Source organism: Homo sapiens, chromosome 2 (genome assembly GCF_000001405.40).
Source record: "Homo sapiens chromosome 2, GRCh38.p14 Primary Assembly".
Classification (NCBI taxonomy): Eukaryota; Metazoa; Chordata; class Mammalia; order Primates; family Hominidae; genus Homo; species Homo sapiens.
Window position 1 is genome coordinate 33823044 of NC_000002.12, and position 24820 is coordinate 33847863.

General features: G+C 39.9%; 1 long non-coding RNA gene and 1 pseudogene across 1 annotated transcript in view; one reads left to right on the forward strand and one right to left on the reverse strand.

Moving 5' to 3' along the window:
• The window catches only part of LINC01317 (long intergenic non-protein coding RNA 1317), a 590861-nt gene that overhangs the window by 116158 nt on the left and 449883 nt on the right, over positions 1 to 24820 (forward strand). The window lies entirely within an intron of this gene.
• SLC25A5P2 (solute carrier family 25 member 5 pseudogene 2) lies at positions 16479 to 17703 on the reverse strand (annotated as a pseudogene).

The window sequence follows — 24820 nt, forward strand, 5'->3', positions numbered from 1 at the left end:
TAGATAATGGTGAGTGATCAGTGACCACACACTTACTAACACATGTAGCTGCAAAGACCTCTGTCTTCCTGTAAGTGGCAATTTATTTGGTTAATTTGAAGCATATTCTGAATTCATTGCTCATCTACTGACTGTGGGCTCTGTTCAGCACAGGTCAAGAGAGTAACATAATACAAATTATAAAAGACAATTATGGTACTATCCAAACCGATCAAATCAAGGCAGATAGCTAATTTCGACTTGCAAGTTCAACTGATAGTGTTTATGTGATCTGTCAAATACATTTAAAAGCAATCCAAGAATAGTCGTTCATAATGTATAGATAGTAAATTCTTGAGAGCACAGACTGTACGTTATTCATCTTTTTGTCTGCAGCAATTCCCACAAATCCTGGCATAAAGTAAGTGCTCAGTGAGTGTAGGCATATACACGTTTGTGATTTGGAGTAGTGACAAATCTCACCTTGTGACTATCAACAATTGTGTGTTTTGATTTGTAATGTAAAATGAATCTACTAGGAGATTTTTCCATTGAATTTGATTTAGTCATGTGTTTAATGACTTTTAGGGAAATTTAGTAAAACATGTATCAATTTATTATTTTAGTAGAGTTATTAAATTTTAATTTTTAATGATATTACCAAATCACAATGTAAAAACACTCTTAAGATGGCTAAAAAAGCCCTGGCGTCATGGCTTATGCCTGTAATCCCAGCACTTTGGGAGGCTGAGGCAGGCAGATCACCTGAGGTTGGGGGTTGAAGACCAGCCTGACCAACATGGAGAAAGCCTCTCTCTACTAAAAATACAAAAAAATTAGCTGGGTGTGGTGGCACATGCCTGTAATCCCAGCTACTAGGGAGGCTGAGGCAGGAGAATCGCTTGAACCCGGGAGGCCGAGGTTGTGGTGAGCCAAGATCGTGCCATTGCACTCCAGCCTGGAAAACAAGAGTGAAACTCCGTCTCAAAAAAAAAAAAAAAGTCTAAAAACAAATCTTTCTGAAGGTAAGACAAAGTTTTAGGCCTGAAAGAAGTTGAAAAGTATAAACATTGTTCCCGTTTCCTGGAGGCTCACACAGTAGGCTAGGCTGAAGGTTATAGATGGTTTTAGTGGCATCCTGGGGGCTTCCTAGTGGAAAATTGGGAAGAAAGGGGGAGAGTAGAGGCGGGGGCCAGAGAAGGGACAGGGTGCCAGGAGCAACTGAATATTATCTTGTTAATCTCCTCTCTCTCTCTGTCTCCTCCAGTCTCATGAAATGAAACACCTACACCACATGAGTTTGTCATCCTCTCAACTCTATTTGGGGAGGGATTGGGTGAGGAGGAGCCTGGCATTTCTGGGGTTCTCAAGCAAGGAGAAGTACAGGGGCCTCTCTCCAGTCAGTGCAGCCCAGTTGTTGTGCGGATGAGGCCTGGAGGGGCTGAGAACCCGACAAAGTGATCTCTGCCTGAGCGCCAGGCACCCTGGTTACTTCTGGCACAAAGAAGATATGATTTATTTGGGAAAAGGCGCCACTTACTTGCCCAGCTTTGGCCCAGAGGGGAGTACTTTTATTGCTGTGTGAAGAGCATTTGATAGAGAGACAAAACTAGGCACAGGAACCTGGGCCTCTCCTGAAGCTCTGATTGAGTGCCCAGGGCCCTGGAGTTTGAGACCATGATGTTTTCCTTAAGGTAGCCAGCCCTAAACCCAACAGTGACCTAAGCTGAGTTTGTCCTGGATATCTGCCCAGCCTCAGTTGGCCAACCTTTCCCCCAAGAAAACTCATTGTTTGAATTCTGGACCGCAGTCCGCCACAGCAAAATCCCTTTGACCCTCAGGGTTTGCATGAGAATTGCTATATTCACTCTTCCTCCAGTCCTGTATACCTAGGGTCAGGCTCTTCCATAAGATGGCAGGGTAAAGCTATATATATTTTATATTTATTATAAAATATTTCAAACATTCAAAATATTTTAAGAAATTCATTACCAAATCCCACCTACTCATGGGTCAGCTCTATCTGTTTTGACATTTGCTTTAGATATTTTTTAACTTTTAGGTTCAGGGTTGCCTGTGTGGGTTTGTTAAATAGGTAAATTGCATGTCACAGAGGTTTTGTGTACAGATTATTTCATCACCCAGGTAACAAGTGTAGTACCCGATACGTAGCTTTTTTATTCTTTCCCTCTTCCCCTCACTCACCCTCAAGTAGGCTCCGGTGTCTATTGTTCCCTTCTTTGTGTCCATGTGTACTCAATGTTTAGCTCCCACTTACAATTGAGAACATGCAGTATTTGGATTTCTGTTCTTGCATTGGTTCGCTGAGGATAATGGCTTCTGGCTCCATCCGTGTTGCTGGAAAGGACAGTATCTTGTTCCCTTTTTTGGATGCATAGTATTCCATGGTGTATATGTACTATATGTTCTTTATCCAGAGTACCATTGATGGGGATTTAGGTTGATTCTATGTCTTTGCTATTGTGAGTAGTGCTACAAGGAACATATGCATGCCTGGGTCTTTATGGTAGAATGGTTTATATTATATTATATAATGGGATGTCTGGGTCGAATAGTACTTCTGTTTCAAATTCTTTGAGAACTTGCCACAGTGCTTTCCACAGTGGCTGAACTAATTTACATTCCCACCAGCAGTGTATAAGTGTTTCTGTTTCTTTTTTTTTTATTATTATACTTTAAATTTTAGGGTACATGTGCACAATGTGCAGGTTTGTTACATGTGCCATGTTGGTGTGCTGCACCCATTAACTCGTCATTTAACATTAGGTATATCTCCTAATGCTATCCCTCCCCCCTCTCCCCATCCCACAACAGGCCCCGGTGTGTGATGTTCCCCTTCCTGTGTCCATGTGTTCTCATTGTTCAGTTCCCACCTATGAGTGAGAACATGTGGTGTTTGGTTTTTTGTCCTTGCGATAGTTTGCTGAGAATGATGGTTTCCAGCTTCATCCATGTCCCTACAAAGGACATGAACTCATCATTTTTTATGGCTGCATAGTATTCCATGGTGTGTATGTGCCACATTTTCTTAATCCAGTCTATCATTGTTGGACATTTGGCTTGGTTCCAAGTCTTTGCTATTGTGAATAGTGCCACAATAAACATACGTGTGCATGTGTCTTTATAGCAGCATGATTTATAATCCTTTGGGTATATACCCAGTAATGGGATGACTGGGTCAAATGGTATTTCTAGTTCTAGATCCCTGAGGAATCGCCACACTGACTTCCACAATGGTTGTACTAATTTACAGTCCCACCAACAGTGTAAAAGTGTTCCTATTTCTCCACATCCTCTCCAGCACCTGTTGTTTCCTGACTTTTTAGTGATCGCCATTCTAACTGGTGTGAGATGGTATCTCCTTGTGGTTTTGATTTGCATTTCTCTGATGGCCAGTGATGATGAGCATTTTTTCATGTGTCTCTTGGCTGCATAAATGTCTTCTTTTGAGAAGTATCTGTTCATATCCTTTGCCCACTTGTTGATGGGGTTGTGTGTTTTTTTCTTGTGAATTTGCTTGAGTTCATTGTAGATTCTGGATATTAGCCCTTTGTCAGATGAGTAGATTGCAAAAATTTTCTCCCATTCTGTAGGTTGCCTGTTCACTCTGATGGTAGTTTCTTTTGCTGTGCAGCAGCTCTTTAGTTTAATTAGATCCCATTTGTCAATTTTGGCTTTTGTTGCCATTGCTTTTGGTGTTTTAGACATGAAGTCCTTGCCCATGCCTATGTCCTGAATGGTATTGCCTAGGTTTTCTTCTAGGGTTTTTATGGTTTTATGTCTAACATTTAAGTCTTTAATCCATCTTGAATTAATTTTTGTATAAGGTATAAGGAAGGGATCCAGTTTCAGCTTTCTACATATGGCTAGCCAGTTTTCCCAGCACCATTTATTAAATAGGGAATCCTTTCCCCATTTCTTGTTTTTGTCAGGTTTGTCAAAGATCAGATGGTTGTAGATAAGCGGCATTATTTCTGAAGGCTCTGTTCTGTTCCATTGGTCTATATCTCTGTTTTGCTACCAGTACCATGCTGTTTTGGTTACTGTAGCCTTGTAGTATAGTTTGAAGTCAGGTAGTGTGATGCCTCCAGCTTTGTTCTTTTGGCTTAGGATTGACTTGGCAATGCAGGCTCTTTTTTGGTTCCATATGAACTTTAAAGTAGTTTTTTCCAATTCTGTGAAGAAAGTCATTGGTAGCTTGATGGGGATGACATTGAATCTATAAATTACCTTGGGCAGTATGGCCATTTTCACGATATTTATTCTTCCTACCCATGAGCATGGAATGTTCTTCCATTTGTTTGTTCTCTTTCTGCACAACCTTGCCAGCATCTGTTACGTTTTGACTATTTAGTAATAACCATTCTGACTGATGTGAGATGGTATCTCATTGTGGTTTCAATCTGCATTTCTCTATTGATTAGTGATGTTGAACATTTTTCATATGCTTGTTGGCCTTGTGTACGTCTTCTTTAGAAAAGTGTTTGTTCATGTCCTTTGCCCATGTTTTAATGGGGTTATTTGCTTTTTGCTTGTTAAGTTCCTTATAGATGCTGGATATTAGACCTTTGTCAGATGTGCAGTTTGCGAATATTTTCTCTCATTCTGTAGGCTATTTACTCTGTTGAGAGTTTCTTTTGCTGTGCAGAAGCTCTTTAGTTTGATTAGGTCCCATTTGTTAATTTTTGTTTTTTAACAATTGCTTTTGGTGTCTCTGTCATGGAATCTTTGCCAGGGCCCATTTCCAGAATAGTATTTCCTAGGTTATCGTCTGGGTTTTTATAGTTTTAGGCTTTAAGTATTTAATCCACCTTGAATTGATTTTTGTGTATAGAATAAGAAAAGGGTCCAGTTTCAGTCTTCTTCATAGGGCTAGCCAGTTATCCCAGCACTGTTTATTGAACAGGGAGTCCTTTCTCCATTGCTTGTGTTTGTCAACCTTGTCAAAGATAAGATGGTTGTAGGTGTACAGCTGTATTTCTGGGCTCTTTACTCTGTTCCATTGGTGCGTGTGTCTGTTTTTGTACCAGTACCATTGCTGTTTTCATTACTGTAGCTTTATAATACAGTTTGAAGTTGGTAATGTGATGCCTCTAGCTTTGTTCTTTTTGCATAGGATTTCCTTGGCTATTTGAGCTCTTTTTGGTTCCATATACATTTTAAAATAGTTTTTTCGAATTCTGTGAAGAATGTCATTGGTAGTTTGATAGGAATAGCATTGAATCTGTAAGTTGCTTTGAGCAGTATGGTCATTTTAACAATATTTATTCATCCTATACATGAGCATGGAATGTTTTTCCATTGGTTTGTGTCATCTCTGATTTCTTTGAGCAGTGTTTTGTAATTCTCATTGTAGAGATATTCTGCTTCTCTGGCTAGCTGGTAAAATATCTAGTATTCCCAGGTATTTTATTCTTTCTGTGGCTATTGTGAATTGGATTGCATTCTTGGTTTGGCTCTCAGCTTGGACATTTTTTTTGTATAGAAATTCTACTGACTTTTATATATTAATTTTATATGCTGAAACTTTGCTGAAGTGGTTTATCACATCTAGGAGCTTTTAGGCAGAGACTGTAAGGTTTTCTAGGTAAAGAATCATATCATCTGCAAACAGAGCTAGTTTGGCTTCCTCTGTTTCTATTTAAATGCCTTTCATTTCTTTTTCTTGCTTGATTGCTCTGGCTAGGACTTCCTGCTTTATCATTTTTTTTTCCTGCAGCTAAGACATACAGATACAGTTAAAGCTTCATGAGTATCTCCCACTGATTCTATTTCCATCTTTCTGGCCCTGAAGAAACAGTTATCCTGAATTAGTGATTGTAATTCCTATGGATGCTGTAATCAATTATTATTACTATCCATACATTATATAGAATATTATTTTTCACGGCTGGGCGTGGTGGCTCACGCCTGTAATCCCAACACTTTGGGAGGCTGAGGCAGGCGGATCATGAGGTCAGGAGATCAAGACCATCCTGGCTAACACGGTGAAACCGCGTCTCTACTAAAAATACAAAAAATTAGCCAGGCGTGGTGGTGGGCATCTGTAGTCCCAGCTACTCGAGAAGCTGAGGCAGGAGAATGGCATGAACCTGGGAGGCAGAGTTTGCAGTGAGCTGAGATGGCACCACTGCACTCCAGCCTGTGCGATAGAGCAAGACTCCGTCTCAAAAAAAAAAAAAAAAAGAATATTGTTTTTCACACTTCTAAAATTTATATAAATGGGACCATATATATCATTTTACAACTTTTCTTTAACTTAACACTTTGAAATTTATCCATGTTGATACTTGTAGCTTTCCTTCATTTCCTTTAGCTGTTATTATATATATCCAATTATATGAATCATTAGAGGGATTGCAATAATTATTCAACTTTCCCTTCTACTTTGTGCATTTTTAAATCTAAAATTCTCCCAGATTACTTAGCAGCACAGCCATAGAGTTTATTCAGTTATCTACAAACACATCAAATGCCTCTGTTTAAGGAACGTTGATATGGTGCCTTGCAGCTTGTCAAGTCCCATGTATCTGTGCAGAGATAGATAACACATGGGTGTAGTATGAAGCAGAAGACAGATACACAAACAAGCAGTGAGTCTGCAACCAGAGCTGTGTGATGTTTGGAGATGTACATTGTGCTTTAGGATCAGGGAGGAGGGACTGAGGCAATGAAAACAGAAAGATAGCAATTAGGGAAGCCTGCACAGAGGAAATGGTGATACTTGAATTGCTTTTGAAAGAGTGAATTCTCCTGGGAGCCAAGTGGAGAACCACCTTTATAAAGGGATTAGTTTGTATAAAGACAGGCAGGGGTGTTTTGAAAGGGAATAGTATGATCGGCAAACTGTAAGTGGATTGGTCAGCAAAGTAACTGAGGGAGAAAAATCACCTGGCTATCATAATTTTTCTTCCTTAGAATTGAATGAATAAATGGTGCCCACTACTCATATATAGCAATTGTGGTGGCTTTTTGTAACCACTGAAAAATATAATGTATGTGTCCATTCTTCTAACTGAAATGGTTTAATAAAACTCTCTTCTGCATTTCCTTCTTCAGGGGTTTAAAACATGTCTCTGGGGTCTGGCAGACTTATATTTAAAATCCAGCACTGCCACATTTGCAGGTATGTGACCTTAGGTAGATTACTTAACTTTTTTTAAGTTCTCAGTTTCCTCAACTGTGAATTGGAATAATAGCAGTTTCCTGTAAGCTGTGGACTGAATATGTCTCCCCCAAATTTATATATTGAAACCTAAGCCTTAATGTGATGGTATTTGGAGATTGGGTCTCTGGATGGTGATTAGGTCTTTAGGGGAGAGCCCTCAAGAATGGGATCAGTGCCCTTATAAGGAGCTGAAGAGACCAGAGTTCTCTCCTTCCACCATGTGAGGACACAGCTAGAAAGTGTCATCAGTGAACCAGAAATTGATCCCTCACCAGATACTAAATATGTTGGTGCCTTGGTCTTGGACTTTCCAGCCCTCAGAACTGTTAGAATAAATTTCTGTTGTTTAAAAGTTACCCAGTATATGGTATTTTGTTATAGTAACCCAAACCACAGTTTCTGCAGGCATTTCCCATTCCTGGGCTGGCAGGACTCACACTTGGCCGGGCTTCTATAGACATGATAGGCCAGACTGTGGAGTTCCTGGTGGTCCTGAGCTGTGTTAGCTCAACAAAGGGGATGGGCTACTTGATACCATAGTGTTACAAATTTGAGGGCAGAATGTTTATAGAGATTTCATCTAAACAGTCTTTTTTTTTTTTTTTTTTTGCTCAAAAAAGTTTCAGGAAAACCTAGGTTAAGCAATGTGAAACAACTTTCTTGAGTGACTGCGGGATCTCTCAAAGACTTTAATATATTAATGAATATTTTGAATCTCAAAGAATGAGGTGATGGTACACAATATTTTCCATACTTATTTGATCAGAGAATGTCCTTTTCAGGGTGCTTCTTTCACTGTCTTCCTGAGCAGTAATGCTTCAAAGAACACAGCTTGGGAATTGACTTAGACTTCATTCAGTGTCAGGACATAAAGCAAATTCTAAGATCCTTGAGTGTTCTGATTTTATTTTTTTCCCTGGAAGTAACACAGAGAATGCATTATAGGAATCATGTTTGTTTTGTGAGATGTTAATTAATCTCCAAGTATTTGTGTTGTCTTAGAAAAATAGTATCTCTGGTTTTCTTTATTAGTCTATTATGACTCTATTTTCCCATCCTAAAAATTTTCTAAGTCTTTCTTGAATCCATTGGATTTTTAAAAATTATGAATAATTAAAAAATTTACTGTTTTATAAGCATAACATTCCTTATTTGCCCTCAAATTTCTTGTCTCAGACTTCAAGTTGAGCCTCATTTGAGTGTTCTAGGACTCTATTTTTGCAGAATGTCAGATACGGATCCCTTATTAAATCAATAAACCAATTGATTAAAAAAACTGAATATTCTAAATTTCTCTGCTCTGGAAGATCAATAATGGTGTAAAATTCACAAGGGAGTATACGTTAAATATCAATAACGAATGACAAAATATGATCTTTTTCTATTTATAGGTTATGAAGTGTTCCTTTTTTGCTTCCATAAAGGACTTGAGAAATTTACAATCAAAGATACATTTTCAATACTATTTTTAAGCAGAAAGAAGATAATCAACACCACCACCAATAAACTATACAGATGGGAGAAATAAGTGTGCCAAAATGTAGGTTAATGTTACAGCAGTTGAAAATTAAATTAGGTTCAGGTCTTCCTGGAAGCCAAGGGAAGACAAAAGGAGCAGGGCAGGGACAAGGCATTATGAGGTTATAACATAAATCTTTAATTAGCAAAGGTATTTCTTTGAGGGTTTGCAAATGAGATAAGAATACATTGCTCCGTGGTGAACCAACTAGGTCTAAGGATAGAATTAAGAATTCCCAGGAGAATGAAAGTCTCATTGTATACCACTCGGGCTTTTACAACTTTTACTGGGCAGAAAAATTCACTCAGTTGAAGATGGTTTTCTTTGAAATTATCCCATTAGATTGCTTAATATCCTTACGGTGAGCAATCTCATGGAGGCTGTGGACCAAAGAGCCAGGAAGTACCATACATTGAATTAAATCAATGTCACTTCACCACTGATCATTGTTGGAAGGACACCTTCAGCCTTTTCAGATGCATGGGTCAAAAGGCAGCCCCTTGGCGCATATCCTTGCATGCTATATTATTTATCTATCTATCCATCTCTCTCTCTGTCTGTCTGTCTCTCTCTCTCTCTCTCTCTCTGTGTCTCTGTCTCTCCAGAACTCATTTCTGTGTCACTTCTGGACCCTTGAATGTCCTAACTCCTGAGAATGGTCCTGGGAATCTGTACCTGCAGCTAGGCAGTATTCATATGGCTTCTTGAGATCCTGAAGGATACTGTTCCCTGGTGCTCCATTCTACAAACTGCTGATACTTTGAGGTTTAGAGTCATCTGCTGATAAATGTTTTCACAAGTAGACACATGAGTCCAATACTTTGATGTACTTTAAAAATGATATTTTTCAAAAAGCCAATAATTATTTATGTACAGGAGAGGCAGAAAATATATGAGGGAAGGAGGAGAAGGAACTCTGGTGGTGGCACTCAACCTCTCCTTTGTGGTCATCTGTGACCCCAAATATTCACATCACACTCATTAAGACAAGAGTATGCAACCAACTGGTCACACCTCATGTAATGTAATACTGATTCCTTAGGTTTCTGGGGTGTGCCTCTTGGAGGTCTCAAGTCCCATCCCAAGTGGCTTATCAGAAATTCCAATGACTTACAGTCTCCCTGAGAGGACTTCTGGTAAATGTAGCCTTCTCCATTTAATTGCATTTCCAGTGATGTTTTAATGCCTCTTATTGATTGGTGACCCGGTCAGGTGCCCAGCTGGCTACCCTTTGATCTAGCCCTGGTAGGCCTCAATGAAACTTTCTGTGGGACCTTTTACATATATATCTATGACCCTTTAGCTGTACTGGAGGCTCTAGAAATCAATCAAATTCCAAGCAAAGCCTACAGTGAAGCCACATTTTAGCAAATGAAACATGAAAAACCTTGCCTGGGGAAAATGTGGAAGAAACTTGGCCTGTTTTGCCTCTCGATTGCATTGCCTCTTGATTGATTGCATTGCCTCTTCTTGGTTGCACTTTTGACAAGGGAAAAGAAACAGAAATTTTTGCAGTTTAAAAACCAAGCAATGTGTACACAGGAGAGGCATGCACAGAATAATCTAGCGCAGAACTATTTCCCTCACATTAGGGTGAGCACCACCTAGAGTGTGTTAAAGGCCCCTATAAGCCCTATAAGTGAACATGCCATTTTTGATGAGTAGTGCTCATTGTATGCTGGGAAAAGTTGTCATATCTGGGAAATGCAAAATGGGTGAGCATTAGAAAAAAAAACAGAATATTGGCAAGAAATTTTAATTACTTGAAACTTAGTGTTTAGTTGGGAAATACCTCATTATCATATGATCTGTCATCCATCATTGCCTTCCAATCTCCCTTTATCATTAGAAAATTGAAATGGTTTAGATGTTAGAAACAAAAGGTATAAATACACTTCAGTAGATTTGGAGAAGTGAAGAAACTGGGCTGTGAATCTTTACCTATTTAAGAGGAGACTTGTTGATATGGTTTCGCTGTGTCCCCATCAATATCCCATCTTGAATTGTAACCCCATAATCCCTGCCAGGTCATGGGAGGGACCTGGTGGGAGGTAATGCAATCATGGGGGCAGTTATCCTCATGCTGTTCTCGTGATAGTGAGTTCTCACGAGATCTGGTGGTTTTATAAGGGGCTTTCCCCTTTTTGCTCGGCCCTTCTCCTTGCTGCCACCATGTGAAGAAGGACATGTTTGCTTCCCTTTCTGCCATGATTGTAAGTTTCCTGAGGCCTCCTCAACCCTGCAGAACTGTGAGTCAAACCTCTTTCCTTTAAAAATTACCCAGTCTCAGATATGTCTTTATTAGCAGCATGAGAATGGACTAATGCACTCATGTACCCAATTTTTCCTAATATTTTCCCTAAATATACAACTAGAATTTCAGGAGACATAAAAGGTGTATTTTTCAATGTAATGCATCAAATTGGCTGATAATAGGGTGTTGCATTCATGAGAGACCAGGAAGTTTTTACTCATCTGTTCACTTATCCCCTTAACTATCCATTTCTCTCTTTATTCTTCATTCCTACACACTGTGGTGCTCTCTGAGGCAGTTATCAAAACTCTTATGACATAGACCTTGCTCTTACAGAACCCATAGCTGAATGTGTGTCACAGACTCATTAATGACAGAGTATATGCTTTAAAGCATGTGAGTCCAAGGTGCTCGGAGAGAACTAGAAGAGAATAGCTTTCTTCAAGGGATTAAAAAACAGAAGAGGTATGTAGGGAGTTGTAGAGGGGAGGCAAAAAGTCTTCTTGGGGAAGAAAATACATATATCCTTTAAGATTTAAGTGTATATGTGATTATAAAAATAATATCAAATGAAGATTAATGTGGAAAATGTGGATATCTTAGTCTGCTTTGTACTTTTATAACCGAACACCACAGACTGGGTAATTCATAAGAAACAAATTTATTTCTCACAGTTCTAGAGGCTGAGAAGTTTAAGATCAAGGGACTGACATCTGGTGAGTTGAGAGAGTAAGAGAGATAATGGGAGATGGAATTCACAGGCTCAAGCCTTTTTATAATCTACGTAAATTCATTAATCCATGAAGGCTGCATTCTTACGACCTATACACCTCCCATTAGGCCCCACCTTCCAACACCGCTGCATTGGGGATTAAGTCTCCAACACATGCCTTTTCAGGGACACATTCAAACCGTAGCAGTGGGCACACTGAAATAAAAAAAAAAGAATAAATGAAAGCCGGATTCCCCAACTTGGGAAGTCCACACTCTTCTTATAACATAGTTACTGCAATAATCACTAGTGGCTGATTACAGTTGATGAGCCGAAACCTGTTGGACATCTCTGTAGTCTGACCCTTTCACTTGATAGAAGTAGAAACCAAGGCCTTGGGTTGGGGGCTTGGGGTCATAAAAAAAACCATGTCTGCTGACACACAGTGAGTTAATATCTCAGCTGGGACGAAATCCTTTGTCTTACTCCCAATGAGAAGTTCTTTCTCTGCCCTACTACAAAAACAGCTTCAAATAAACTTTCAGCCAGAAAATAACAGTGTGGAGCATATTCTGGAGCTTGGTATCTGATTGCTGTAGTTTCCATAATTGCCCTGCATTTTCTGGGGGCTTTACGATGAACTGATATCAGAAAGTTAAGGTATGTACGTAACTCGAAGGTGACTTCAGAGTGCGGTTAATCTCCTGTGTACAATGAGTTTTTTAAAAGATTCATTTTATTGAAAGCGGAGGCAATGCCGAGCAGTGATCCTATTTGAATGCAATAGCATTTTTAAGGGAATCAGGTCCAGCCAATTTCTGATTCTGTAAGGCTAAATTCTATTAGGCATTAAAACTCAAATTTCAGGCAGCTTGCACTGACGAACACAAGGAACATCTGTAGAAAGTTTCTAGCATTATAACCTCTGAATACTGATTACTATAGAAAGATCTAGGCTGCAATGCTAACGGGCTAAAGTAAAAAAGCATTTCTTCCTAAAAATGCGTAAGTATCTTTCTTGTACCTTTCAAGTGGACTGAGAGGATGTTGATAAATACAACCTGTATGTTTTCAGTTGATTTTGTTGCTCCAGAGCATTTATAGGCTTAACAATAGACATGCTAATAAAAAGTACCATTAATTGTGCATCAGCCACATTCCAGACATTTTATGTACATTATTCTAATCTTTATAGTAACCCTGAAAATCAACAGTATTATCTTCATCTTACAGAAAAGAACATGAGAGCTCATAGAGGTTAAATACCTTGCTCTGTCCTCCTTTTCTCTTCCCTTTGTCTGGCCATGGTGGCTCAGATTATGAACTTGGCTTCACTAGCTGGGTTGAATGTACCCACATGCCCTGACCTGCTTTGCGAACTGACATATATTCTGAGAGATGATTGTTATCCAAGTTGTTGGATTTGTGGTTTCAGCCATTTCTGATTTGTTCTGCCCAGCAGTTCTTCCTGACCAGCTGTCAGGGCAATTAGAAGGAAGGATTGATGCTCAGAATAACAGGAGTAGGGGAAGAGGGCAGGGATCTATCCTTGAGGGTTGAGAGGCCAGGAATTGATCTCATGTGATGACAGAAGATTTTAGGGGGATATGTGGGGGTTGACTTAGGGGACAGACTATATTTCCATTACATGGCGAAGAAGGGATAAAAAATGGGTATTAGTTAGGAATTTTGCTGTTGTTGCAAGTTCAGTAATTAAACTTGGCTAAGCTAAGTAAAGGAGGACAATGCTTGGGTGTCTTCTCACAGTATTCAAAGACAGGAGTGCGGCTGCCTCTTGGTAATAACCTGCAGCTAGGGACCTGAATAGGACTGCCATTCTCCACATCTTTCTTCTGTGCTTCTTTCTTTCTGCCTTATTTTCCTCCCCTCCAGCTGCTGGTCCACAGGGCAGGAAGCATGGGCACTAAGATGCTCTTAGTCTTACATGTAGGAGGTACAGTAACTAAGACAGAGACTAGTCTTCGGGTTTTCACTCTTGCATTTTCTTTCTTTCTCTTATTTTCTTGTTTTTGCTCCCTGCTCTCCTCTTGAGTCCCACAACTTCCAGGAATATAAATAATCATAGCAGCATGGGTAATGTGTTAAGCCCTGGACCACCTGTGGCACGGACAGTGACACGTGTTAGAAACATGGCAGGTTTTGCTGTCATCTGGATGGGGTAAGGAGTGGCAATTTCTAGGAAGGTGGTACAGGGAAGACAATTCTACCGCAGCTACTCTCAAAATCCAGAATCCGATAGCACCAGGCCAAAGGTCCAGTAAGAGTATTAATTAATAGGGTGATTATGTGCAATAATGAAAACAGCCAACTTTAATGAGCCCAACCAGTACTGTGCCAAGTGTTTTATATACATTATCTCCTTCAGTCATCACAACTCTTAAAAAGTAGGTAGTAGTAGTCTTATTTTATAAGTCAGAAACCAAGGTCAGTGTACCCTGTACAGTTAACTACTATACATACTGCCTTACATAATGACTGGCCAATCTTTATAGAAGTATAACATGAGACTGGGTGACGTGGCTCACACCCGTAATCCCAGCACTTTGGGAGGCCGAGGCAGTCGGATCACCTGAGGTCAGTCATTCAAGACCAGCCTGGGCAACGTGGTGAAACCCTGTCTCTACTAAAAATACAAATATTTGCTGGGCATAGTGGTGGGTGCCTGTAATCCCAGCTACTCGGGAGGCTGAGGCAGGAGAATAGCTTGAATTCAGGAGGTGGAGGTTGTAGTGAGCCGAGATTGTGCCACTGCACTCCAGCCTGGGCAACAGAGTGAGACTCCATCCCCCCAAAAAAAAAGAATTATAACGTGAGGTGATTGAGGAGATTTATTACATGCTAGTGCAAATTAACTCTTTCCAATACTCTTTTGTTATCAGCAAACCAAACGGTTGCCACAATGCAAAGGGCTATGTGAGGTATGTTGATATGCTTTATGATCATGCATAGTTTTTTATTTGAGTGCTTAAAGTTGTCAGCTGTCTGTATTTTTGTCCCAGTTGTATAGAGTGAGACACAGATACACAAAATGACTTCTAGAAAGTCCAATGTAAAACCAAAGCTAAAGTGAAGAAGACAAGTGAAAATACAATTCAGGTTTCTGATTGCCCAGATTTTCTGATGCCCCTACCTCTTTTCACTTGAGTAGCTATAGAAAGTTTCTATTTCTAGAGAAAAAAAATTGACTCCATGGTTCTGAATAATAACTGATACCTTCTACATTGTTTTATGATGCTGGAGAGGAATTGACAATATATAAAATTTCAGAAAACTATGAAGAAGAAAGGCATTTCATAACCTTGGACACAGCAGCGGCGCCTCAATAAATATATTTATCTCCATTTGATTTAAGACAATATGATTTAACTCAAGGGCAAAAAAAGGATAAAGTAGGATGGTTGTACCCCTGATTCTACAGTCTCACTTACCAAGTGTTAGCATATCTAAGGAGGCATGATGATTCGGATCCCAAAGAGCTTAGTTGTGGACTTGCTTCTCATCTGTTTATTACTTGTAGAATTTTTTTTTTAGCCGTGGGTGTTTCCTCCTTTATGAAATGAAAATATTAATAACAACTACCTTCACTATCTCACAAGTTTACCTTGTGAATCAAATGAGAGAATTTATTTGAAAGCACGATAGACACTAAAAGTATTACACAATCTTTATCTTTTATATTTAGCACTTACTTCAGAAATTCACAAATTATAGAGAATTATAAAATGAACGCCCCTGTATCTACCACACAGCCTAAGAAATAACGGATTGCTGGGCCAAGCGTGGTGGCTTACGCCTGTAATCCCAGCACTTTGGGAGGCCAAGGTGGGCGGATTGCCTGAGCTCAGGAGTTTGCAACCAGCCTGGGCAACATGGTGAAACCCCATCTCTACTAAAATACAAAAAAATTACCCAGGCGTGGTGGTGTGTACCTGTAGTCCCAGCTACTTGGGAGGGTGAGGCAGGAGAATTGCTTGAACCCAGGAGGCGGAGGTTTCAGTGAGCCGAGATCACGCCACTGTACTCTAGCCTGGGCGACAGAGCGAGACTCTGTCTCAAAACAAACAGACAAACAAAAACAACAAACAAAACAACAACAACAACAAAAATAACAGATTGCTAATTTCAGGTCCCTCTCATCTCACCCTGGTATACATTTATTTCCCTGATCCAATCACTCGCCTTTGTCTCTGTAATTAATGATCTTGAATTTATTTAGCATTCCCAAAGTGAAATAATTAGTAAATAATTAGAAATAATTTAGTAACATATATATATATTTCTCTAGGCAATTCATAAGCAACCCTTGTATACACAGTATAATATAAATTATATCATGCTGGGGCATTCTTATGCCACCTACCTTTTTCACTCAAATTATTTTTGCAGATTTTGTCCATGTTACATGATCATAGCTTATTTACATAATCATGTTACATGATCATAGCTCAGCTTATTTTCAGTGTTGTGTAGTATTCCATTATACGAACAATCCATGTACTTATTCATTCTCTCATTGTTAAAAAATTAACTTGTTTTTTGTTTTCTTTTAAAATTTGTTGTTATATATAATTCTGCAGTCCATGTTCTTTTGAATTAAAAAAATTTTTTTTTGTAGAGGCAGGAGTCTCCCTATGTTGCCCAGGCTGTTCTCAAACTCCTGGGCTCAAGTAATCCTTCTGCCTCGGCCTCCCAAAATGCTGGGATTACAGGTGTGAAATACCATACCCAGCCCCAGTTCATGTTCTTTTAAAATCACTTTGGGCACACAGCTTTGTTCCTGCTCAAGTGAAGGCCTTCTTTTTTCTTCATTATAGATATTTTTATTTCTCCAAATTTGTTGTTTATCAGGAGTAACTGAAATAAAAAATATAATTGACTCCTATCCTCATCATCATGGAAATGGCTTTAAGAGAAAACTGGTCAGATGAACATTATTGCTTCTCATTTTCAACAGCAAATAGTTGCCACAGATAAATTGACAGCCAGGAGTCTGTCAAGAATGCTCAGGACATGTTATATAATACAACATGCCTGTTCACCAGGAGAAAAATCCTAGAAAACAACTTATGTGTACTTCTTGATTTCATTATGCAAGACAAGCACAAAAGCACCACCCGTGCCTCTGAAAACACTGGACCATGCACCCTTAAAGGAAGCTTTGCCTCCTACATCACGAGCAATCTTCCTCCAGCAGTTAAGCATGCCTGTGTACATGATGTCAGTTCCTTTGCACCCTGACTGCATCATCATGTGGTGGCGAATGGTGTCAAATGGATAGGAAGTCAACCCAGCAACAGCAGTGACGGTCTGTGTGATCATCTAGCTGATGAGGATGTGAGTGTTCTTGGGATCCGGAAGCATTCCCTTTGCAGTGTCATAGATACTGAAGTAGGCGGCTCGGTAGATGATAATACCCTGCACAGACATGTTAAAGCCTTGGTAGAGGCCCTTAATCCCATCAGATTTGTAAATCTTAACCAGGCAGTCACCGAGGCTTCGGAATTCCCTTTCAGCTCCAGCTTTACCCACATTGGCTGCTAGACGGGTAAGAGCAAAATCAAGAGGGTACACAAAACACAAGGATGTGGCCCCAGCAGCACTGCCTGATGTCAGATTCCCTTCAAAGTAGCGCCAAAACTGGGTCCTCTTGTCCACATCACCCAGGAAGATCTGCTTGTATTTATCTTTGAAGGCGAAGTTGAAAGCCTGGGTGGGGAAGTATCTGATGACATTGGCCAAGTTACCGCGCCAGAAGGACAGGACTCCCTGCTCCTTGGATATGCAGACCACGCAGTCTATAATGCCTTTGTATTGCTTATCTGCGGTGACTTGTTTGCTGGCATGCTGCACCTGCAGCAGCAGCTTGACCCGCTGGATGGGCACTACAGCCATCTTGGAGATGGCTGCGGCCACTCCACCTGCCAGGAAGTCCTTGGCAAAGGACACTGTGGCATCTGTCATGTTGAAAGGAAAGAGGAGGCAGGCTGCTAAGGGACGGGACTGGGCTGGGAACTGGCTTTGACTCGGGCTGTGAGAAGGACCATTTTAATGTCCTACACTGCTCATATCGGGCCATGGAGGTGGGATATGCATCCTCCTCAGTGTTTTGTTGATGCTGTGAGACCCTGCTCCCTCTCTCCTACTTAGACTCTATAAGGTCTGAATGTCTTAACAGACCATCACTCCCACTGTCCCCCCGTTGAGTTGTCTGCTTTCCCCTACTTCATTGTCCCTTATTTCTCAATGATTTTTGTCAATTCCAGCCTTTTTTCTTAATTTAAAATTTTAATTTTTGTGGGTACATAGTACCAGTACATAGTATATACACTGTCAGTCTTTTAAACAACATTCCTGGGCCAGGCGCAATGGCTTACGCCTGTAATCCCAGCACTTTGGGAGGCCTAGATGGGCGGATCACGAGATCAGGAGATGGAGACCATCCTGGCTAACGCGGTGAAACCCCGTCTCTACTAAAATTAGCTGGGCGCCGTGGCGGGTGCCTGTAGTCCCAGCTACTGGGGAGGCTGAGGCAGGAGAATGGCGTGAACCCAGGAAGCGCAGTTTGCAGTGAGCCGAGACTGTGCCACTGCACTCCAGCCTGGGCGACAGAGCAAGACTCCGTCTCAAAAAAAAAAAAAAAAAAAAAGGGCCAGGAGCCGTGGCTCACGCCTGTAATCCCAGCACTTTGAGAGGCCAAGGCCGGAGGATCACAACGTCAGGAGATGGAGACCATCCTGGCTAACATGGTGAAACCCCATCTCTACTAAAAATACAAAAAAAAATTAGCAGCGCGTGGTGGCGGGCGCCTGTAGTCCCAGCTACTCAGGAGGCTGAGGCAGGAGAATGGCGTGAACGCAGGAGGTGGAGCTTGCAGTGAGCCGAGATCACGCCACTGCACTCCAGCCTGGGCAACAGAGCAAGACTCTGTCTCAAAAACAAACAAACAAACAAACAAACAAACAAATAAACAAATGAAAAACCCCACAACATTCCTGTCTTAATTCTTGGTAATTTTAATATCCACAGAAATGATTCTCTACCACCATGGCCTTGAATTTCTTCAGTTCCTCCCCTTCAGCCTATCTCAGCCACTCACTCACATGGTCATAGCACAGAATTTCCATCACCTTTTCATAATCGCAGGTTCAGCCATTCCACCCTCTGTATGCCTTGTCCTATCTTGCTCATTTTAGTCTCACCACCTGAACAAGCCCCAGGATCTACAATCAATCCACTGCCCGGTGCAATTTTTCGTATCCCTGATTCACACTCATGTACTTTTGACTCTTCCCACGGTTTAAATTCCATCATTAATCATTATAGCCATTTCCTCACATACACCCTCAACACCCTTTCCCCTTTCCTGTGGTACTTACTTGCTTGGCAGAATTTTGATCCTGGTGAAGTCCAACTCTCCTCCTACTTTGCATCATCACAGCAGAAGAAAAATACATAGCATGCTTACTGGTCTCACTTTAAGTTCATCCTTAGTGTCAATGGATCTTTCATGCTGTCTGACAATCTTGTTTCCCTTGTCTATTTCTTACTCTACTGTGATTGTTTTGCCTTTCTTTTCTCAAAACTCCAACACCTCACCAGCGCTCCTGGCTATCATCTGATGAACTGCTTCTTATTTTACTGGGGACATAGCAAAATAGAACTTCCACAAGCTCCTGCCACATCCACTACCTACTGGCATCTATGCCCCTGTACCCTGTGTTCCCTCCTGGCTACTATAAAATGACCATCTGTGCTTCTGTATAAATCTGAGCCATATGCTGCTTCACGTAATGCCATTCGCTTTCATGTACTCAAGCACATAAACGTGTAGGAGTTTCTCGCATTTCGGTTCTTGAAACAAATAAAAGCACGCATACATACACAAACAAAAATCTCTGCATCTCTCTTGTCCCTCCAGCTACTACCTCATTTCTTGGTTTCTACCTGGTTCAAACCTCCATCACCTCTCCTGTACTGTTACAAGACTTCTAACTTCCTGCTTCCACACTTGCACCCTTATAGGCTAGTTTTTATTATAGTGATATGGTTTGGCTGTGTCCCCACCAAAATCTCATCTTGAATTGTAGTTCCCATAATAAGCACATGTCATGGGAGGGACCCAGTGGGAGGTAATTAAATTATGGGGGCAGTTATCTCAATGCTATTCTTATGATAGTGAGTGAGTTCTCACAACATCTGATGGTTTTATAAGGGGCTTTTCCCCCTCTTCACTCTGCACTTCTCCTTGCTGCCGCCATGTGAAGAAGAATGTGTTTGCTTCCCCTTCTGCCATGATTGTAAGTTTCCTGAGGACTCCCCAGCCATGAGGAACTGTGAGTCAGTTAAACCTCTTTTCTTTATAAATTACCCAGTCTCAGGGGTTTCTTCATAGCAGGATGAGAACAGTTTAATACATATAGCACCAGGGTGACTCTGATAAAAATTTAAATCAGATCACTCTTCTGTTCGCAACTCTTCAATGGTTCTCCATCACACTCAGAGTAAAATTCAAAGTCCTTTAAAGTCCTGCAAGGACCTAACCATCTAGCTGCTTATGATTTCTTTGATCCAGTCTCCTACTACTTACCTCTTGCTCACTCTGTCTTGTTACACTGAAGCCTGCCAAGCATGCCCTGACCTCAGGTATTTTGCACTTGCTTTACCACTTGCCTGAAATTCTCTTCCCTCATATATCCACATGACATTCTCCCTTACCTCCTTCAAGTTTTTGTTTAAAGTATCATCTTCTCAATGTGTCCTTCTCTGAATACCCAAACAAAATTGCAGTTCCTGCCCCCAGCTTTCCCTATACCACTTTCCTGCTTTATTTTTCTCCATAGCATTTATCATCTTCTAGTATAACATACACTCATTTACTAATTTTGTCTATCGTCTGTTTTCCATGACTATAATATAAGAAAGGCCCATGAGAGCTGGGCCTTTGGTCTCTTTGTTTTCTTTCTTTTTTTTTTTTTTGAGACAGAGTCTGGCTCTGTCACTAGGCTGGAGTGCAGTGGCGTGATCTCGGCTCACTGCAACCTCTGCCTCCTGGGTTTAAGAGATTCTCCTGCCTCAGCCTCCAAAGTAGCTGGGATTACAGATGTGTGCCACCATGCCTGGCTAATTTTTTGTATTTGTAGTAGAGATGAGGTTTCACTGTATTAGGCAGGATGGTCTCAATCTCCTGACCTAGTGTTCCGCCCACCATGGCCTCCCAAAGCGCTGGGATTACAGGCCTGAGCCACTGTGAAATATTTCTGAAATATGAAGGTTGTATATTATTTCTTAGAATTATTTATAGTTATCTTTCAGAATCTTCTGTTATTAAACAGAATATTTTTTAAAAATGCATTTCCTAACTATGCATAGGAAAATGATTGCATTTTGTACATAAATCTTATATTTAGTAAACTGGCTAAATTATTCATTGTTCTACAAGATGTTCTGTGAATTCTGTGGCTTTCTGAATAAAAATGTTTACCTTGAGATAATTATAGTTTTGCTTCTTTCTAATCTTTACCTTCAAATTCGTGTGTGAGTGTATCTGTGTGATGCATAGACATGTTGGAAGGCAGAAATGATATTGAGAAGCCTGACTTGTTACTGATTTTAAAGGGCATGCTTTTAAGGTTTAATCATTAACTATGATTTAAAACATCCATTTATAGTAGACATGATTTCTTAGATTAAGGGAATTCCCTTCTCTTCCTAGTTTGTAAGTTTGTTATTGAATCATTCATAGGTATTAGATGATATTTTCCTACAATTATTGAGATTGTTATGTGGTGTTTTAAAATGTTAAATCTTTTAAATGGACGGATTTTATCTTTAGAATTTCTAAGGTAGAACCATTCTTGCATTTGTGTGACAAATCCAACTTGTTCATGATGTATTATTTAAAAAATATATTGTTGGGTTTAGCTAGTTGATATCTTACAATTTTGTGACTACGTTCATGAAAATATTGTCCTATAATATTCTATTTTTACACTGTTCTTGCCTGGTTTTGATTTCAGTTATACTAGCTTCATACTGTGGATTGGTAAGCATTTACTTTTTTTTTCTATTCTCTGGATAATTTCCACAATGTTGGAATGATCTCTGACTTGACAGTTGATTGGAATCACCTGTAAAGTATCAGGCACTGGAGACTTCATGTGTAAATATGTTTTAACTATGATTCAACATCTCTAAGGATTCCAAAAAAATTTTAGATGTTCTATTTCTTTTTGTCAGTTTGGCAAGTTACATATTATTTTCTCAGAAATTGTACATCATAGCTAGACTTTCAAGTTTACTGGCTTAACATACAAAATCCTTCTTTTCTTTTTAATTTTGACTGTAGCTATTAGGTTACCTTTTCACTACTAATATAATTTTTAACACCTCTATTTTTTGTGATCAATCTTGATAGAGTCTATTTTATTTGTGATTCCAAGAAACTTACTTTTGCTTTTGTTTGTTCTTTATATATTTTTCTCTTCCATGAATTTCTAGTTTTAGCTGTAATATTTCTTTTTTTTCCCTACTATCTTTTTTTTTTTTTTTTTTTTTTTTTTTTGAGATAGAGTCTTGCTCTCTCATCCAGGCTGGAGTGCAATGGTGCGATCTTGGCTCACTGCAACCTCCGCCTCCCCGGGTTCAAGTGATTCTCCTGCCTCAGCCTCCTGAGTAGCTGGGATTACAGGCACATGCCACCCCACCTGGCTAATTTTTGTACTTTTAGTAGAGACAGCGTTTCACCATGTTGGCCAGGCTGGTACTGAACTCTTTACCTCAAGTGATCTGCCTGCCTTCAGCCTCCCAAAGTGCTGGGATTACAGGCATGAGCCACCGTGCCTGGGTGCTTTTGGGTTAGATGCCTACCTAATTACTCGTTATCATTTCTTCTTTTTTAATATACACATTTAAAGTCATACATTTCCTGGTGAGGAATTAGATATGTATTATATTTATTACCATTTGGTTCTATATATTTTAAAATTTTTATTATGATTTATTCTTTAACTCAGTAGTTATGTAGAACAGTGCTGTTTATTAGAAATATAATGTAAGCAAGTGTAATTTAAAAAACTTTAGCAGCCACAATAAAAATTGAAATTAAAAAATGAAATTTATTTTAACATAACATTTTATTTAACTCAATATAAACGAAGTTATTTTAACATGTAATCAGTATGAAAATTATTGTATTATTATTTTACACTTTTTGTTTTCTACTAAGTCTTTGACATCTGGTGTATATTTTATTCTTTTTTGTTTTTTTGAGACAGAGTCTTGCTCTGTCACCAAGGCTGGAGTGCATTGGCACGATCTTGGCTCACTGCAGCCTCCGCCTCCCTCTCGGATTCAAGCAATTCTCTGCCTCAGGCTTCCAAGTAACTGGGATTACAGGCGCCCACCGCCATGCCTGGCTAATTGTTTTGTATTTTTACTAGAGACAGGGTTTCACCATCTTCGCCAGGCTGGTCTCGAACTCCTGACCTTGTGATCCACCTGTGTCGGTCTCCCAAAGTGCTGGGATTACGGGTGTGAGCCATCGCACCTGGCCGTTATTCTTTTTTTTTTTTTTTGAGACAGAGTCTCACTTCGGCTCACTGCAACCTCTGCCTCCCGGGTTCCAACAATTCTGCCTCAGCCTCCCAAGTAGCTGAGATTACAGGCCCCTGCCACCATGCCTGGCTAATATTTTTGTATTTTTAGTAGAGACGGGGTTTCACCATATTGGCTAGGCTGGTCTCAAACTCCTGACCTTAGGTGATCCACCCGCCTCGGCCTCCCAAAGTGCTGGGATTACAGGTGTGAGCCACTGCGCCTAGCCCCTTTATTCTTAAAATACATCTTCATTTGGACACTAAATTTTCATTATAGATTCTTCATCTGTATTTAAACTTAACAAAATTTACATTTCAAAAGTAGATTCACATAATTGAAAGTTTTCTAGTAATTGAACTGAGTATCAAAAACTGCTTTTCCAGCTGGGTGCAGAGGCTCACGCCTGTAATTTCAGTATTTTGGTAGGCTGAGGTGGGAGGATCACTTGAGCCCAGGAATTCAAGGCTGCAGCGAGCTATGAGTGCACCACTGTGCTCCAGTATGGGTGAACAGAATGAGACCCTGTCTCAAAAAAAAAAAGAAAGAAATTTTCCTTTAGTTTTTAAACCCACATTAACAAAATTAGTTCCTCTGTTTTAGAATAGCTGATTTGATTTTGATGCAAAAGTATATCATTTTCAAACTGTAAGTGCAATAACTTTACTATTTTTCAACTCAGTATTAACATTTAATTGAAAGGGTATTGTATAAATTCTAAATTTACAAATATCAACAATGTGTTATTCCTTTTACTTACTGTCGTCAATCAAATCTTCACGTTGATTCATGCTAGAAAAATGCGTAAAATTATTACCATTGCTTTTTATGTAAGTTTTAATTTCAGCATAAATTTTCATACCTGTCTAGCTAGATCACAAGTAAACTTTTCCTTGCAACTTCACAGATAACTTCTTCATATGCAGTGTGATATCTGTGAGGAACTATAAATCACATTGCTATTTTTCTGTTTTTTGATTATTGCATATTTGGCAAATATATTTCTATTTCAAGGAAACCTTGAATAGGAGTTAAAGGTTGTGCCATAAGCTGTTAGCTCAGTGGGCTTGGTTTGCTCAAACACCACATATTCCATGGAAAGGACTGGCCCTTCACCTGCCTCCTAGGAGATAACCCTTAAGCCTTTGTAATATCCTGCTTTATCAGTGTCTTTGTATATCTGAGGCTTTGGTCCACATCAGATAGTTTATGCTAACAATATGATTTATGGTGAATTTCTGCTCTTGTTCGCTTGGGGCCCTGGACCACGCTGTATCAGTTTGACTTCTAGAGAAAGAGTAGTTAAGGTGAGCCATGCAGACATGCCCACTGACTCCTAATAAAAACTCTAGACCTCAAGGCTCAGGTGAACTTCCTTGGTTGGCAACACTTTGCATATGCTGTCAAACACTACTGCTGAGAGAATTAAGCCCTATCTGTGTGACTCCACTTGGAGAGAACAACTGGAAGCTTATACCTGGTTTCACCTGGTGCCTGTTTCCTTTGCTAATTTTAATTGGTATCCTTTAGGTGTTATAAGCCATAATCATTAGT